This window comes from Homo sapiens, chromosome 1 (genome assembly GCF_000001405.40).
Source record: "Homo sapiens chromosome 1, GRCh38.p14 Primary Assembly".
In the NCBI taxonomy this organism is placed as follows: Eukaryota; Metazoa; Chordata; class Mammalia; order Primates; family Hominidae; genus Homo; species Homo sapiens.
This window is the reverse complement of record NC_000001.11, coordinates 227830420-227847441: the sequence shown is the minus strand read 5'-3', so window position 1 is coordinate 227847441 and position 17022 is coordinate 227830420. Positions and strand designations below refer to the sequence as shown.

At 45.1% G+C, this 17022-nt stretch overlaps 1 protein-coding gene across 3 annotated transcripts in view; it reads right to left on the bottom strand.

Moving 5' to 3' along the window:
- Positions 1–971: 971 nt before the first annotated feature.
- PRSS38 (serine protease 38) overlaps positions 972–17022 on the bottom strand; it is a 30796-nt gene continuing 14745 nt past the window's right edge. For 2 of the 3 annotated variants that reach the window (XM_011544175.3, NM_001374657.2), the window contains one exon: positions 972–1488. In XM_011544175.3, coding sequence (XP_011542477.1) covers positions 1425–1488 — 64 coding nt within the window. In that variant the 3' untranslated portion in view covers positions 972–1424. Of the gene's footprint in view, positions 1489–1829; positions 1973–17022 lie in introns of all 3 variants that reach the window. The other variant, NM_183062.3, reaches the window with a different exon arrangement.

Here is a 17022-nt window from a genome sequence, read left to right as displayed (position 1 = left end):
ATTTAATAAAACTTCTCTGGCTCTCTCTCTGTTTTTTTTTTTTTTTTTTTTTTTTTTTTGAGACAGTGTCTCACTGTGTGGTCCAGCCTGGAGTGAAGTGGCATGATCATATCTACAGCCTCAACCTCAAGGGTTCAAGCGATCCTCCCACCTCAGCCTCCAGAGTAACTGGGATTACACGTGTGCACCACCATGCCCGACTCATTTTTTTAGACAGGGGTCTTGCTACGTTGCCCAGGCTGGCCTTGAACTCCTGAGCTCAAGTGATCCTCCTGCCTTGACCTCCCAAAGTGCTGGGATTACAGGCATAAGCCACAGTGCCCAGCCTAAAACCTCTCTACTGGGGTTAGTTTTAGTAAACTTTTTTTCCTAAAAAGTGCTGCTTTTCATTTAAATTTATATAGAGTTGTACACTCTCTCGTGTGGTTTCTTACCTTGTCTCAGTTGATGGATCATTTTCACTTGTCATTTCTCATTTTGTGTATTTTTGTTCTTATCTCCTGTGTTGGGTAGGTTAGTGATCTCTCCAACCCCTGTCCACTGTTTGATATTTTCCAAGGAGCAGACTTTTGAAATATGAGTTTTCGGTGCTTTTCTGACTTGGGGCTCCTTCATGCTTCTATCGTGTTTGTTCCTTCCTTGTGTCTACTTTCAGCTCCGGTTACCCCCACAACACACACTTTTTTTTTTTTTTTTGCAATTGGATGTTTAAATGTCTGCAGCTGTTTTATATGTACAGGCGTAGGCATGTAAGCAATGACCTTTCCTTGGGCCTGGGCTTTGACCACATCCCACAGATTCAGAGGAGTGTGTCTGTGTCATCGCCCCTCTGTTTCTGGAAAGAGCTGATTCGGCCTGTGCTTCTCCTTTTCTGAGAGCCTCAGGAGGGGTGATAGTCCCCCTTTCTGTGCATGGAAGAGGACAACGACTCCGGCAGGGGCGGAAGGAGCCACACAGGTGATCTCAGAGGCTTGCTTTGTAAATATTTAATGATCTTATCAAATCTCAGGTGCACTCTGCCCAAGCTGGGTTCTCCCTGACCAGCCCCTCTCCCCCTTCCCTTTTTTCTTTTGTACACTTGCTCATCACCTCCTGGACTCAGCATCCACCCCCGGGATAGGTGGCCCTTGTCTGCTTCAGAGAGGCCAGGACAGGAGATGCTTAGGGGTCTGGAGGCAGCTGGGCTGGGGCAGGGTGTGCAGCCATGAGAATCCTAGAGTGGGTATCCTGACCTCACAGCACTGACCAGCCAGCCAGCATGGCCATTAGGACGCTGAGAGTGGGCCCCAGAGCTGGAGAGAGAGCAGGGGCTGGCTGAGCAGGAGTGGGCGTGATTTCTATGTTATCACATATCCATTTTGAGAAATAGGAAACACTGGCATACACTCCAGGGTACAGAGGGTTGGAGCAGCCTCGGCCCCAGCTCACAATTCCAATCTGCAACCAGCTGCGGTTGAATTCACAGACAAGTGGGCCCCCGGAGTCGCCCTAGAAAGGAAGAGGGAGTTTTTTGTGAACTGGGAGTCCCAGGCCTGCCGCCTCCTGCACCTGTCCCCCAGGGTGCAAGGGGGTGGCTGTGCAGACCCTGCTGGAAGGGGCCAGTGCCCCCCTCTCACCCAGCCTCCCTACTGGCTGCAACACAGCCCAGAGTTGCAGGGGAGGCCTGCTGCAGGCATGCGGCGTTCACACATTGTCATACATCGCCCTGCTCAGCTTGGGGCATGGCTGCAGGGCTCCTGCTAGTCAGTGGGAGGCCAGAGTGGGGTCCTGTGGGGTCCACAGGCACAGGGCACCCATGACCTCTGTCTCATGGACCAGGAGGGGCACACCTCACACACGGTCTTAGCATTCAGGATGTCCCCAGCACACAGCATGTCGGGCATGATGTAGGACATGTGTCCGTAGAGCAGGTGGCACCAGGGCTCCAGGATCAGCGGGAGCTGCATCTCCTGCAGCTCGTCTGAGGTCTCACCTGTGGGAGGAGGGCTCCCGTGAGGGGGCAGCACCTGCTTCGTGTGGGGTGGGGGGATCCCTGCCCCACAGTGGACACCAAGGGGATAGCCCATGGAGAGGAGCCCCACTATACGTAGGAAGGAGCCCTGATGACACATAGGGATGAGTCCCACCACACATAGGGAGGAGTCCTGACCACACATAGGGAGGAGTCCTGACCACACATAGGAGCTCCACTATACATAGGGAGGAGCTCCACCACACATAGGGAGGAGCCCCACCACACATAGGGAGGAGCCCCACCACACATTAGGGAGGAGCCTCACCACACACAGGGAGGAGCCCCACCACGCATAGGGAGGAGCCCCACCACACATAGGGAGGAGTCCTGACCACACATAGGGAGGCACCCCACTAAACATAGGGAGGAGCTCCACCACACATAGGGAAGAGCCCCACCACACATAGAGAGCAGCCCCACCACACATAGGGAGGAGCCCCACTACACAGGGAGGAGTCCTGACCACACATAGGGAGGAGTCCCACCACACATAGGGAGGAGTCCCACCACACATAGGGAGGAGCCCTGACCGTACATAGGGAGGAGCCCCACCCCACATAGGGAGGAGTCCTGACCACACATAGGGAGGAGCCCCACTGCCCATGGTGAGGAGTCCCACCATACACAGGGAGGAACCCTGAACACTCAGAGGGAGGATCCCCACCAAATGAGGAGGAGCCCTCACCACACATAGGGAGGAGCTCCATCACACAGTGAGGAGTCCTGACCACACATAGGGAAAAGCCCTGACCACACATAGGGAGGACCCCACCACACATAAGGAGGAGCCCCACCACACATAGGGAGGAGCCCCACCACACATAGGGAAGAGCCCCACTACACATAGGGAGGAGTTTTGACCACACATAGGGAGGAGCCCCACCACATGTAGGGAGGAGCTCCACCACAAACCGGAAGGAGCACTGACCACACATAGGGAGGAGTCCCACCACACAGGTAGGAGTCCTGACTACACATAGGGAGGAGTCTCACCGCACATAGAGAGGAACCCTGACCACTCAGAGGAAGGAGCCCCACCACACGTAGGGAGAAGCTTTGCCCACTCACAGGGAGGAAACCTCACCACTCATGGGGGGTAGGGGAGGAAGCCTTGATCAGACAGGGAGTAACCCCGATGACCCATGAATGAAGTCCCGACCACAGATGGGGAGGAGCCCAGGTCTCACTGGGGAGGATCCCCACCACATATTGAAGGAACACTAACCTTAAGCCTAACCCCTAGCCCTAACCCCAATCCTGTGTTTGGTTTCCTGAATATTTATATCAAAAAAGAAACGATTATAAAAGTTAAAACAAAAGATGTCAGACAGAGTAAAAGAGTGTTCCATGAAGAGTCAAATCAGGACAGAACAGTCTGGGGAGTTGAAAGTAACACAGAGGGTTTTTTGTTTGTTTTGTTGTTGTTGTTACTGTTGTTTTGAGACAGGGTCTCACTCTGTCACCCAGGCTGGAGTGCATTGGTACAATCTTGGCTCACTGCAACCTCCACCTCCCGAGTAGCTGGGATTACAGGTGCGCACCACCACACCCGGCTAACTTTTATATTTTTAGTAGAGATAGGGTTTCACCTTGTTGGCCAGGCTGGTCTTGAACTCCTGACCTCAGGTGATCCACCTGCCTCGGCCTCCCAAAATGCTGGGATTACAGGCCTGAGCCACTGTGCTTGGTTGGTTTTTTGTTTGTTTGACATTTTTTTTTTAAGATGGAGTTTCACTCTTATTGCCCAGGCTGGAGTGCAATGCAATGGTGTGATCTTGGCTCACTGCAACCTCTGCCTCCCAGGTTCAAGCGATTCTCCTGCTTCAGACTCCCAAGTAGCTGGGATTACAGGCATGCGCCACCACACCTGGCTAATTTTGTATTTTTAGTAGAGACGGGGTTTCTCCATGTTGGTCAGGCTGGTCTCGAACTCCTGACCTCAGGTGATTCACCCATCTCAGCCTCCCAAAGTGCTGGGATTACAGGCGTGAGCCACCACGCCCGGCTGGTTTTTGTTTTTTGTTTTTGTGTGTTTATGTGTGTTCAAAGATTTGTTGGGTGTGGGAGAATGGGAGAAGAGGGAAAATGAAAGAGGAAATATGTGTTGTTGTGGAACTGGATATCATGTAATATCATCTAAGTGACCCAAATAAATATGAGGGCTACTTTTCAGTTACGTTTGGTTTTCTGGCCTTGACTGGAGCATCGTAAACCAAGTCTTGCGGCCTGCAGCTCATTTATGCATCCTGGAGCCCTGTGCTACATTATGTATGGATGGCTTTTTTACTAATTCTGCCAAGAGAAGGCTACACATGTCTCATAGAAAGGGCAAGGCTATTCCTAGTGTCCGTCTCAGGGTGTTAGGAGAATATAAAGGCCGGTCCTCATTAGAGACGGTGAAGTCTACTGCTCCTTTGATCAAGGTTGGAGCTTTCCAATCTGTGGGCTGTTGTTCCTGAGGGCAACGGATTCTCTGTAAAGGCCTGGGAATCCATGGATATACTTACCACGACTTGTCTGTCAAAGATGCATGGTAAGAAGTTCCCTCAGAGGCCGGGCATGGTGGCTCACACCTGTAGTCCCAGCACTTTGGGAGGCCGAGGCAGGTGGATCACCTGAGGCTGGGAGTTCGAGACCACCCTGACCAACATGGAGAAACCCCGTATTCTACTAAGAATACAAAATTAGGTGTGGTAGCACATGCCTGTAATCCCAGCTACTCAGGAGGCTGAGGCAGGAGAATCGCTAGAACCCAGAAGGCGGAGGTTGCGGTGAGCCAGAGATCACGCCATTGCACTCCAGCCTGAGCAACAAGAGTGAAACTCCATCTCAAAAAAAAAAAAAGAAGTTCCCTCAGAGAAGGAGAGGTGGAAGGCCAGATGGGGCAGGGCCACAAAAGCAGATACGTTATTGTCAATGCTCTAGTTTCCCTGTTGGATTGGTGTCCATATTATTATAAGCAAGCAAACACTGAAAGAGCACCATGCAGGAACAAATGTAGAGTAAATTTTTTTTTGATCTGAGAATTAGAATGAATCCAATTCTGTGCCCCAAACAAACAGAGATGGACAGACACCAGACATATGAAATGGCATTCAGTGTCTAAGAAGGGAGAGAGGGCAGAGCTGAATTTGGGAAAGCTTTCCTGGAATGAGAGTACCTTGAAGCATGGATATGACTTGGGCCTATAGATCACAGATAGACCTGCAGGCACTATTCGCCTGCCCTGCTGCTATAGTTGGGATGTTTGTCCCCTCCAAATCCCATGTTAAAATTCAACTCCAAATGTTCGAGGTGGGCCTAATGGGAGGCATTTGGGTCCTGGGGGGTGCATCCCTCATGAATAGATCAGTGCTGTGGAGGTGGGGGGAGTGAGTTCTCATTCTACTGGCTTCCAACAGAGAGAGCTGGTTGTTAAAAGGAGCCTGGGAACTCCCCTCCCCTCTGGCCATGTGGTCCCTTCCCCTTCCCCATGAGTGGAAGCAGCCTGAGGCCCTGAAGCAGATGCCAGCACCATGCTTCTTACAGAACCCTGAGCCAAACAAACCTCTTTTCTAGAAACTACCCAGCCTCAGGTATTCCTTTACAGCAACACAAATGGACTAAGACAACTGCCTGCTTACATGCCCTGGCAGAGAGGAGGAGGATGCACACATTTGTGAGATGGAGCTGGAGATTGAGGGCTGTTACTGGGAGGTGGGTGGTCCTGGTTTTGGGTGAACTGAATTTGGGCATTGGGTCAACCCTTTCCTGGTTGTGGTTAAAAATGAAAGACTAGTGAAAAATGTGGTCAAGGATTACTGGATTTAAAGCAGCATTCATGCCAATATAATGTATAGAAGAAAAATGCAGAACAAAAGTATAAGGGGTTAAAGAAGAAAATGGAGTTACGCTATTTAAAGTGTTTGTACTGCTGAGTAGTAAAATACAAGTTCAGGGGAAATGAACTGCACTAGTGGGTCCCCTTCCCCGCCTTTCCCACATGGGTGCCCTCTGCCATATGTCTTGCGGTTCCTCTCATCGAGGTGCGGTGTCACATTTCACCAGTCCTTGGATCTGAATTTTGCCACGGACGTGGTTTGGTCAACGGGATTTAAGCAGGGGCTTGGAAAAGTGCTTGTTTCTCATTGTCTTGAATCTTCACCACTGCTGAGGGGTGCAGCTAGGCCAGCCTGCTGGATGGAGACAGTTGCATGGGGCAGAGTCCAGCCCCCCAGCTCAGGCTATCCCAGGCCAGCCAGCAGCCTGATGGGAGAAGCTCAGCCAAACCAGAAGAACCCACAGGTTACATCACCGACCCACAACTGCCTGAGCTCAGTAAAGGCCCGTTGCTGGGTGAACCAGGCCTGCTCACTCTTTATAATGCAGCATTCTTGTGGCAATAGATAAAATGATACAGAAATGGTATCTAGGAATTAGAGGCTTCTCTAAAATACCAAAAACGTCGTCTTGGTTTTGGAAGCTGGTGGCTAGCAGCACTCACAGTAGAATCTGGAAAAATGAAGGGAAAACTGATATAGGAGGTCGGGAAGATGGTGGCTTGGGGGATGAAGTGGCACAAACTGTTGCTGATGGAGACATGGAAGGTATAAAATATGTTTAATGAACTTGAGAGACTTTGCAAGGTGACTTCCAGGCTGAATGACGAAAGCCAAGTGGCTGGTTCTAGCTGAGGATAAGGCACTACAGAAAAGAGAGAAACTCGAAAGAGAAGATGCCAATTTTCAAACAACTGTAGAGGACACACAGTGAAGAAGGGGTGAGCAAACTCTGTAAAGGGCCAAAGAGTAGACACCGTAGGCTCTGCAGGCCATCTCAGCTCTGCAGCCACTGCTCCACTCTCCTGTTGTGGAATGGAAATAGCCAGAGACAATATGTAAATAAATGGGCATGTATATGCTTGAAGAAAAATGTAGGGACACTGAATTTTGAGTTTTAAATAATTTTCATGTTTTATGAAATATTCCTCTTTTGGGTTCTTTTCCGCCCCAACCATTTAAAAGTGTAGGCTGGGTACACTGGCTCACCTGTAACCCCAGCATTTTGGGAGACTGAGGCAGGAGGATCGCTTGAGCCCAGGAGTTCGAGACCAGCCTGGGCAACATAGTGAGACCCCCATCTCTACAAAAAATACAAAAATTAGCTGGGTGTGGTGGCACACGCCTATAGTCCCAGCTACTCAGGAGGCTGAAGTGGGAGGACTGCTTGAGCCTGGGAGTTTGAGGCCTCAGTGAGCTATGATCACCGCACTGCACTCTAGCCTAAGACTGTGTCTCAAAATATAAAATAAGATTTTAAAAACAAAAGTGTAGAAACCATCCTAAGCTCACAGACAACACAGAACCAAGCAATGGAGTGGATCTGACTCCTCATCTGTAGTTTACTGACCCCTGTAAGACAGGGGCTGCGGTTTTCTGGGTTGGAAAATTAAACTGTTTCTGTTCGCAAGTCTTTCTAGCTAGCAAAATATTCTCAAGATAAAGCCGAGGGGCAAAGAGAAAATCAAGCAAGACATGGCTCAGAATAAAGATCCGCTGAGGGTGTGGCTGTTGGCACCTGTGCTAAGTCCTCGGAAGAATTAAGAAAGTGCCCGGTAGACATCCTCTGCTGGATGACGGTGACTCTAAGTACCCTCGGGGTGCTGTCCCTCAACAGTCTAACACACCCAAAAAGGCGGCGATGACATTTAGGAAGTGTTACCTCAAAAAGAGTGGTGGCACATCGAGGATGTCAGGAGAAGACATAGGAATCTGAGGTCCGCACTTGTAAAACTGTCGCCAGTCTGAGCCACAAGATGTTCACAGTCTCAAAAGACCACCAAGCCCTCAAGAAAGTCTGAGAAAGTTGCTCAAATGCAATACATATAAAAGACCTTTTAAAAATTTGTTTTTCAGTTACACACCTTTTTTTTTTTTCCTTGAGACAGGGTCCTGCTCTGGTTACATACCTTTTTTTTCTTTGAGACAGGCTCTTGCCCTGTTACAGGCTGGAGTGCAGTGGTGTGATTATGGCTCACTGCAGCCTGGACCTCCTGAGCTCAAACCATCCTCCTGCCTCAGCCTCCCAAGTAGCTGGGACTACAGGTATGCACCTCCATGTCTGGCTAATTATTTTATTTTATTTCCTTTTTTGTAGGGATGGGGTCTCACTATGTTGTCCAGACTGGTCTCAAACTCCCAGCTTCAAGCAATCCTCCTACCTCAGCCTCACAAATTGCTGGGATTACAGGCTTGAACCACTGCACCTGGCTCAGTTGCATACATTTAAACAGGGATGTGTTTTATTAAAGCATTCAGGCAACACTGACTTCCTTAGGGCTGGCAGGAAAGAAGCATAAAAATGCAAAACATTTTTGGCTGAACCTGAATGTATCCACGTTACCTCGCATGGACCAATTTGTGCTGCCAGAACACTTATTCCTTGGCATTAAAATGGAGCAGTAGAGCCGGGCGTGGTGGCTCATGCCTGTAATCCCAGCACTTTGGGAGGCCAAGGCAGGTGGATCACTTGAGCCCAGGAGCTCGAGACCTGGGCCTGGGCAACATAGTAAGGCCCTAGCTGAATTTTTTAAAATAAAATAAAGAATTTTATTTGAAAAGAGAAATACAGATATTGCATGTATTTACAATTATCATAGACACACAAATTGGTGAAATACTACAAAGAAATAGGAGTTTTCACATTATAATGGCCAAAACATCCATCTAACTTGCTCAAAGCAAACAAAACTTAAAGCTGAGTATGTAAGTCCTGTAGCTTAAGACATCCTGGCACCATGACAAATAGACAGAATGAACATTTTTCAAAGCCTGCTTAAGAAGTAGCCAAGGAGACGAATGCAGAAGAAAGGATGTCTCAGGGAACAGGACCAAGAGCCATGGAAAACAATGGATCATTCGAAACCTTAGCAGGCATTTTGTAGAAATGAGTAGGCTGACTCCAAACACAAGTGGAAATGCAAAGGCTCCAGAGCGCCCATGCTGGCTCTGACCACTAGACTACAACGCTCATCTGCAGGGCGGTGCTCAGGAGAGGGCCATGGACAGCACCACAGGCCCAGCGGGGGCCACACATGGAATCACAGCAGGCATGACGCCACCACCAGCTGGCTCAAACTTGGCCTTTTCCTCACACCATATGCAAAAATTAATTTCAGATGGATCTTATGCCTAAATATAAAAATTAAATTCAAAACGCTTCTAGAATAGATGTTGAAAATTATCTTTGTAAACTTACAATAGGCAAATCTTTATAAACAGAATATAAAAGACCCTATGTGTGAAACCAAAATATTAATATAAAAATAAATTGGACTTCATCAAAATCCAAAACTTTTTCCCATCAAAAGACACTACTAAGGAAATTAAAAGCTGGCCAGGTGCAATGGCTCACGACTGTCATCCCAACACCTTGGGAGGCTGAGGTGGGAGGAACGCTTGAGGCCAGAAGTTTGAAACCAGCCTGGGAAATAGAGCAAGACCCCATCTCTAAAAAAGAAAAAGAAAACAAAAAAAGAAAATTACAAACCAAGCCAGTGCGGTAGAAAATATTTGCAATACACGTTGAAGTACATGTATCCAGAATATATAAAGAAACTCCTACAAGTCAGCAAACCTCAAGAAGAGGCCATGACATGAGTAGCATAACTGAAATGAAAAAGATGGCACTACCAAGTATCGGCAAAGAGGTGCAGCAACTAGCACTCTCCTACATTGCTCACGGGATTGAAAAATGGCATGACCACTTTAGAAACGTGTTTGGCAGTTTCCAATAAAGTTGAATTTATCCCTACACCACAGCCAACAGATTCTACCAAGCATAGACCCAAGATAAACAAGTACCTATATTCCCCAAAAGACTTGCACAGTAAGTATCTGTTGCAGATTTGTTCACATGACCTAAACACTGATGGCAACCCAGACGTCTATTAGCAGGACTATGGAGAGAAGACACTTTGCTGCGTGCAAACACTGAAAGAACTCACAACAGGAAAAGAAGGATGAGCAGCTGATATGGAAACAACATGAATGAATCTCAAAAACAGTAGTCAGCGAAAAAAGCTGGGCACAGAGGAATCCATGGTGTGTGATTTCATTAACGAAGTTTAAGAAAAGGAAAAACTACTAAATGATGACAAAATTCAGAATAGTGTTTACCTTGGCAAGGCGGATTTGTCACCTGGGGAGACTGGAAGTTTTCTCTGGTGAGGAAATGTCCTTTATCTTGGAGGGTGGTGATGGTAGTGCAACAGGACTATTCATGAGTAAAAACTATCCAGGCATGGTGGCGCACGCCTGTAGTCCCAGCTCCTCTGAAGGCTGAGGCAGGAGGATCATTTGAGCCCAAGAGTTAGAGGCGGCAGTGAACTATGACTGTGCCGCTGCACTCCAGCCTGGGTGACAGAGCAAGACCCTGCCACTAAAAGAATAAAATAAGATTAAATAAATATATAAATAAAATGTTTGTCTACACTGAAATATTTATGGATGAAATATAGTATCTGGAATTTGCTTTAAAAATTCATTGTAACTCCAATGTTACAAGAAATAACATTTTAAAAAATGAAAAAAGAATATGTTAACATAATTCAGCTGTACACAATATTTGTGGATTTTAGAGTTTGTAAACAATGTCTCAAATAAAAATGTAGAGTATAAAATAAAGGCATTCTCACATGAAAGATGAGAGTTTCCAATGAAAATTCTGTTATGGAAGCTTTTATTTTATTTTTTTTTTTTTTTGAGACGGAGTCTCGCTCTGTCGCCCAGGCTGGAGTGCAGTGGCGGGATCTCGGCTCACTGCAAGCTCCGCCTCCCGGGTTCACGCCATTCTCCTGCCTCAGCCTCCCAAGTAGCTGGGACTACAGGCGCCCGCCACTACGCCCGGCTAATTTTTTGTATTTTTAGTAGAGACGGGGTTTCACCGTTTTAGCCGGGATGGTCTCGATCTCCTGACCTCGTGATCCGCCCGCCTCGGCCTCCCAAAGTGCTGGGATTACAGGCGTGAGCCACCGCGCCCGGCCGGAAGCTTTTATTAAAAACTTTTTTGGCTTGGTGTGGTGGCTCACACCTGTAATCCCAGCACTTTGAGAAGCGGGAGGATCCCTTGAGGCCAGCCTGGGCAGTAAAATGAGACCCCCATCTCTACAAAAAATAAAGAAAATTACCTGGATATGATGGTGCATGCCTGTGGTCCCAGCTACTCAGGAGGCTGAGGAAGAAGGATCGCTGGAGCCTAGGAGGTTGAGGCTGCAATAAGCTGTGTTCATATTACTGCACTCCAGTCTGGGCAACAGAGCAAGACCTTGTCTCGAAAAAAAAAAAAGTAAAAAACAAACAAACAAAATCTCTCTTTTATAACCAAAGTCTTGCTATGTTGCCCAGGCTTTTCTCAAACTCCTGGCCTTAAGCTATCGTCCTGCCACGGACTCCCAAAGTGCTGGGATTGCAAGCATGAGCCACCACACCTGGACAGCACTTTTTAAAAATCAAGGCAAAATTTACGTTACATTAAATTAAGCATTTTAAAGCAGACAAATCAGTGGCATTTAGTACATTCACAATGCCATATAATCATTATCACCTTCTAATTCCAAAACATTTTCATCAAGCCAAAAGTCACCCCAGACCCTGTCCTTGGTAGCCACCAATCTGTATTCCATCTGTATGATTTGCCTGTTCCAGATATTTCTTATACATCGAATCACACAATATAGGACTTTTAGTGTCTGGCTTTTTCACTTAGCATTGTGTTTTTGAGGCTCGACAGTGTTGTAGCACGTATTCCATTTTATGGTTGAAATACTTTTCCATCCTATGTTTATGCCCCAGTTTGTTTCATTTTTCCACTGTGGGACATGTGGGCTGTTTCCACCTTTTGGCTACGTGAATAGTGCTGCTATGAACACACATGTACATGTACTTGTTTGAACACTAGCTTTCAATCCCTTGAGTACATACCTAGGAGTGGAGTTGTTATGTGTGGTAATTGGGCCATAGGGTAATTCTATGTTTAACATTGTTTTTTAGAGTTGGGGTCTTGCTATGTTGCCCAGGCTGATCTCAAACTCCTGGGCTCAAGCAATCCTCCTGCCTTGGCCTCCCGAAGTGCCGGGATTAAAGATGAGCAGTGCACTTGGCCTGTTTAACTTTTTGAGGAACTTCTAAACTGTTTCTGCAGGGAGTATGTCATTTTAAATTCCCACCAGCAATGAACGAGGGCTCTGCTTTCTCCACGCCCTTGCCAGTACCTATTTTCCATTTGTTTGATTACAGCCATTTTGGCGAGGGATGAATGGATGCTGGGGTTCTGTCTTGTGTTTCCTAATGACTAATGACGTGGAGCATCCTTGCATGTGCTTGTGGACCATTTACATGTTATCTTTGGAGAAATGTCAGTTCAAGTCTTCTGCCCATTTTTAAATTGGGTTGCTTGCTTTTTGTTGAGTTGTAGGAGTTCTTTATATATTCTGGATACTAGGCTTTTATCAATTCATAATTTGAAAATATTTTCTTCCATTCTTATCACTTTCTTGGTATTGTCTTTGATATACAAAAGTTTTTAATTTCAATGAAGCCCAATTTATCAATTTTTTTTGAGACAATTTAGGTCTGTTACCTACCTAGGCTGGAGTGCAGTGGTGCAATCTTGGCTCACTGCAGCCTCGACCCGCTGAGCTCAGGTAATCCTCCCACCACAGCCTCCCCAGTAGCTGGCACTACAGGCACTCGCCACCACGCCCAGCTAATTTTTTTTTTTTGAAACAGAGTCTTGCTCTGTTGCCCAGGCTGGAGTGCAGTGGTGCAATCTCGGCTCACTGCAACCTCTGCCTCCCGGGTTCAAACGATCCTCCTGCCTCAGCCACCTGAGTACCTGGGATTACAGGTGCACACCACCACGCCCGGCTAATTTTTGTATTTTTTGTAGAGACTGAGTTTCACCATGTTGCCCTGGCTGGTCTCGAACTCCTAGGCTCAAGTAATCTGCCCGCCTTGGCCTCCCAAACTGTTGGGATTATACACACGAGCCACTACACCTGGCCAATTTATTTTGATGCTCATGTTTTTGTTGTATCTAAGAACCCATTGCCAAGTCCAAGGTTGTGATTTCTTGACCTATGTTTCTGTATTTGTTTCCTAGGGCTGCTGTCACAAAGTACCCCAAACTGGGCAGTTTCAAACGACAAAAAGTTTTTCTCTCACAGCTCTGCACACCTGAAGTCTGACGTTAAGGTGTCAGAAGGGCCAGGCTCCCTCTCAGGGGTCTCAGGGAGGATCCTTCTTTTCCTCTTCCTAGCTTCTTGTGGTTGCCAGAAATCCTTGGCTTTCTGTGGCTGGCAGGTGCATGGCTCCAGTCTCTGCCTCTGTCATCACATGCACACTCCATGTCTGTGTCCCTTCTCCCCTTCCTATATGTCCTTCAGTCATATTGGACAAGGCCCCACCCTAACATCCTCATCTTAACTTGATTACATCTGCAAATAGCCTATTTCTAAAATGTCCCATTTATGACTACTGGGGGTGTCAACTTCAACATATCTTTTGGGGGACATAATTCAACCAACAACAGTTTTATTCTAAAATTTTATACTTCGAGTTGATATACTTAGTCTTCAATAATTTCCGTGGTAAATTTTGTATATGGTATGAAGTAAGGGTCCAACTTCATTCTTTTGTATGTGAATGTCTAGTACAATTTGTTGAACAGACTGTTCCTTCCCCATGGAATGGACTTGGCACCTTCATTGAAAATGAATGGGCCAGTGATTCTGAACTCTCAATTCCATTCCATTGGTCTATATATCTCTCCTTATGCCATAACCCACGATTTTGACTATTGCAGCTTCATGGTATATTTTGAAATCAGGAAGTATGAGTCCTTCAACGTTGCTTTTTTTTTTTGAGATGGAGTCTCGCTCTTGTTGCCCAGGCTAGAGTGCAGTGCCACGATCTTGGCTCACTGCAACCTCTGCCTCCTTGGTTCAAGTGATTCTCCCGCCTCAACCTCCCAAGTAGCTGGGATTACAGGCACCCATGACCACGCCCGGCTAATTTTGTATTTTTAGTAGAGATGGGGTTTCACCATGTTGGCCAGGCTGGTTTCAAACTCCTGACCTCAGGTGATCTGCCCACCTCGGCCTCCCAAAGTGCTGGGATTACAGGTGTGAGCTACTGCACTCGGCCATGTTGTTCTTTTTTAAGATTGTTTTAGCTATTTGTGGCCTCTTCTAATTACATATAAATTTGAAGATTAGCTTTCTTATTTCTGCAAAAAGGGGCATTGGTATCTTGATAAGGACTGTGTTTGTAGATCACTTTGGGTAATATTGTCATCGTAACAATATTAAGTCTCCCAATCCATGAACATCAGCTGTCTTTGCATTTATTTAGGTTTTCAAAAATTTCTTTCTGTAACATTCTATAGTTTTCAATGTAGTTTTGTAGTTTTCATCTCCTTGGATACATTATTATAGGTATATTTTGGTTTGGGTGCTATTGCAGATGGAACAATTTTCTTAATTTCCTTTTTGAATTGTTCATTGAGGTTGTATAGAAGCACAACTTTTTTTGTGTGTGTTGATTTTGCATCCTGCCACTTGGCTGGATTTTAAAAATTATCCGTAGTTTGATTTTGTTGTTACTGTGTATTTGTTTTTAGGATTCATTGGGATTTTCTATATATATAGGATCATGTCATCTGCAAGTAGAGATAGTTTTACTTCTGCATTTCCAAAGTGAATTTCTTTTGTTTATTTTTCTCACCTAATTTGTCTGTCTAGAGCTTCTGGTATAATATGGAATACCAGTGGTGAAAGCAGGCATCTTAATTTTGTTCCTGATCTTGGAGGGAAGGCTTTCGGTATTTAACCATTGTTATATTTCACCAGAATTAAGTCAGTATTAATCTGACTGGATTGTGATAAACAAAGCAAGCCCTACAACCACTGTTTAGAAAACATCTTTTGAAATATAGTCTAAAAAATCAAGGGAAGAATGAAAATGGCATACCAAAAGGCACTTTGTTAACATAAAAGAAGGCATGGAAAAATGAATAGAGGAAAGAGAGTATATAGGTATATAGAAAACATTTAGCAAAATGGCAAATTTAAATCCACAAAATCAATAATTACATTAAACGTGAAGATGGACTAAATACTTCAGCCAAAAGGCAGAGATTTCCAGACTAGATAAAAAAGGAAGACCCAACTATATGCTTTCTACCAAAAGATACACTTTGGATTCAGAGGCATATATAGATTGAAAGTGAAAAGATGAAAAAAGATATCCGTGCAAATAGTAATTGTAAGACAGCCTAAATGGCTAGATCAATATCAGACAAAACAGACTTTAAAACAAATGTAACTAGGGACAAAGAAAGACAGTTGATTAAATGATAAGATAATCAACACACCAAGTAGACATGATTATAAATATGTATGCACCCAATCAGAGCCTGAAAAGACATGAAGCAAAACCTGGCATAATTGAAAGGAGAAATAAACAATTCAGCAGTCATAGAGATTTTAGTACTCTACTCTAAATAACTGCTTTTTTCTTTTTCTTTCTTTCTTTTTTTTGAGATGGAGTCTCGCTCTGTCACTCAGACTGGAGTGCAGTGGTGTAATCTTGGCTCACTGCAACCTCTGCCACCCAGCTTCAAATGATTCTCCTGTCTCAGCCTCCCAAGTAGCTGGGACTACAGGTGCATGCCACCACACCCAGCTAATTTTTTATATTTTTAGTAGAGATGAGGTTTCACCATGTTAGCCAGGGTGGTCTCAATCTCCTGACCTTGTGGAGTGTTGGGATTACAGGTGTGAGCCATCGCGCCTGGCCCAATAACTGCTTTTAAAAGACAGAAAACCAATAAGGATATAGAAGACTTAAAAACATTATCAGCCAACTTGACCTGTGACTTATAAAAATTTCCACACCAATGACAGCAAGACACATATTCTTTCCAAACACACATGGATCATTTACCAGGACAGACCATAGGCTAGGCCATAGTACATGTCTCCATAAGTTCAAAAAGTGTAAAATTATAGCAAGTATTTTTTTCTAAGCACAAGGGCATTAAAGTTAAAATTAACAATGGGAAGAAATTTTATTTGGAATTCACCAAATACTTAAAATTAAGAAACTTTGAAGAAAAAATTATGAGGGAAATTAGATAATATCCTCAACTAAATGAAAACAAAAACACAGTATACCAAAATTTGTGGGAAGCATTTAAAACAGTGCATAGAGGGAAATTTATAGCTTTAAATGCTTATATTAGAAGAAGAAGAAAGGTCACAAACCACTCTAAGCTTCTACCTTAGGAAACTAGAAAAAGAACAATTAAATTCAAAGCAATCAGAAGGAAGAAAATAAGAAAAATGAGAGTGGAAATCAATGAAATAGAAAACAGAAAAGTAATATGGAAAATCAGTGACCAAAAATCAGTTCTAGAAGACAACCAAAATTGATAAACCTTTAGTTATAATGACCAAGATAAAAATAGAGAAGATGCCAATTACCAAAATCAGAAAAGATGAAATATTACTACTATCCTTTTAGAAATTAAAATAAATGATGAGACTATTATGAACAACTGTGTGCTATCAAATTAGATACCTTAAGGCCGGGCACGGTGGCTCAAGCCTGTAATCCCAGCACTTTGGGGGGCCGAGGTGGGCAGATCACCTGAGGCCACGAGTTCGAGACCAGCCTGGCCAACATGGTGAAACCCTGTCCCTACTAAAAATAATAATAATAATAATAAAAATTAGCAGGGCTTGGTGGTGGGCGCCTGTAATCCCAGCTACTCAGGCAGGAGAATCGCTTGAACCCAGAGGCGGAGGTTGTAGTTAGCTGAGATCGCGCTATTGCACTTGCCTGAGTGACAAGAGCAAAACTCCATCTCAAAAAAAAAAAAAAAAAAAGTAGACACCTTAAACTAATTCAAGAAGAAATGGGAATCTGAATACACCTGTATAAGAAAAAGTAAAAGTAATAGGACAATAA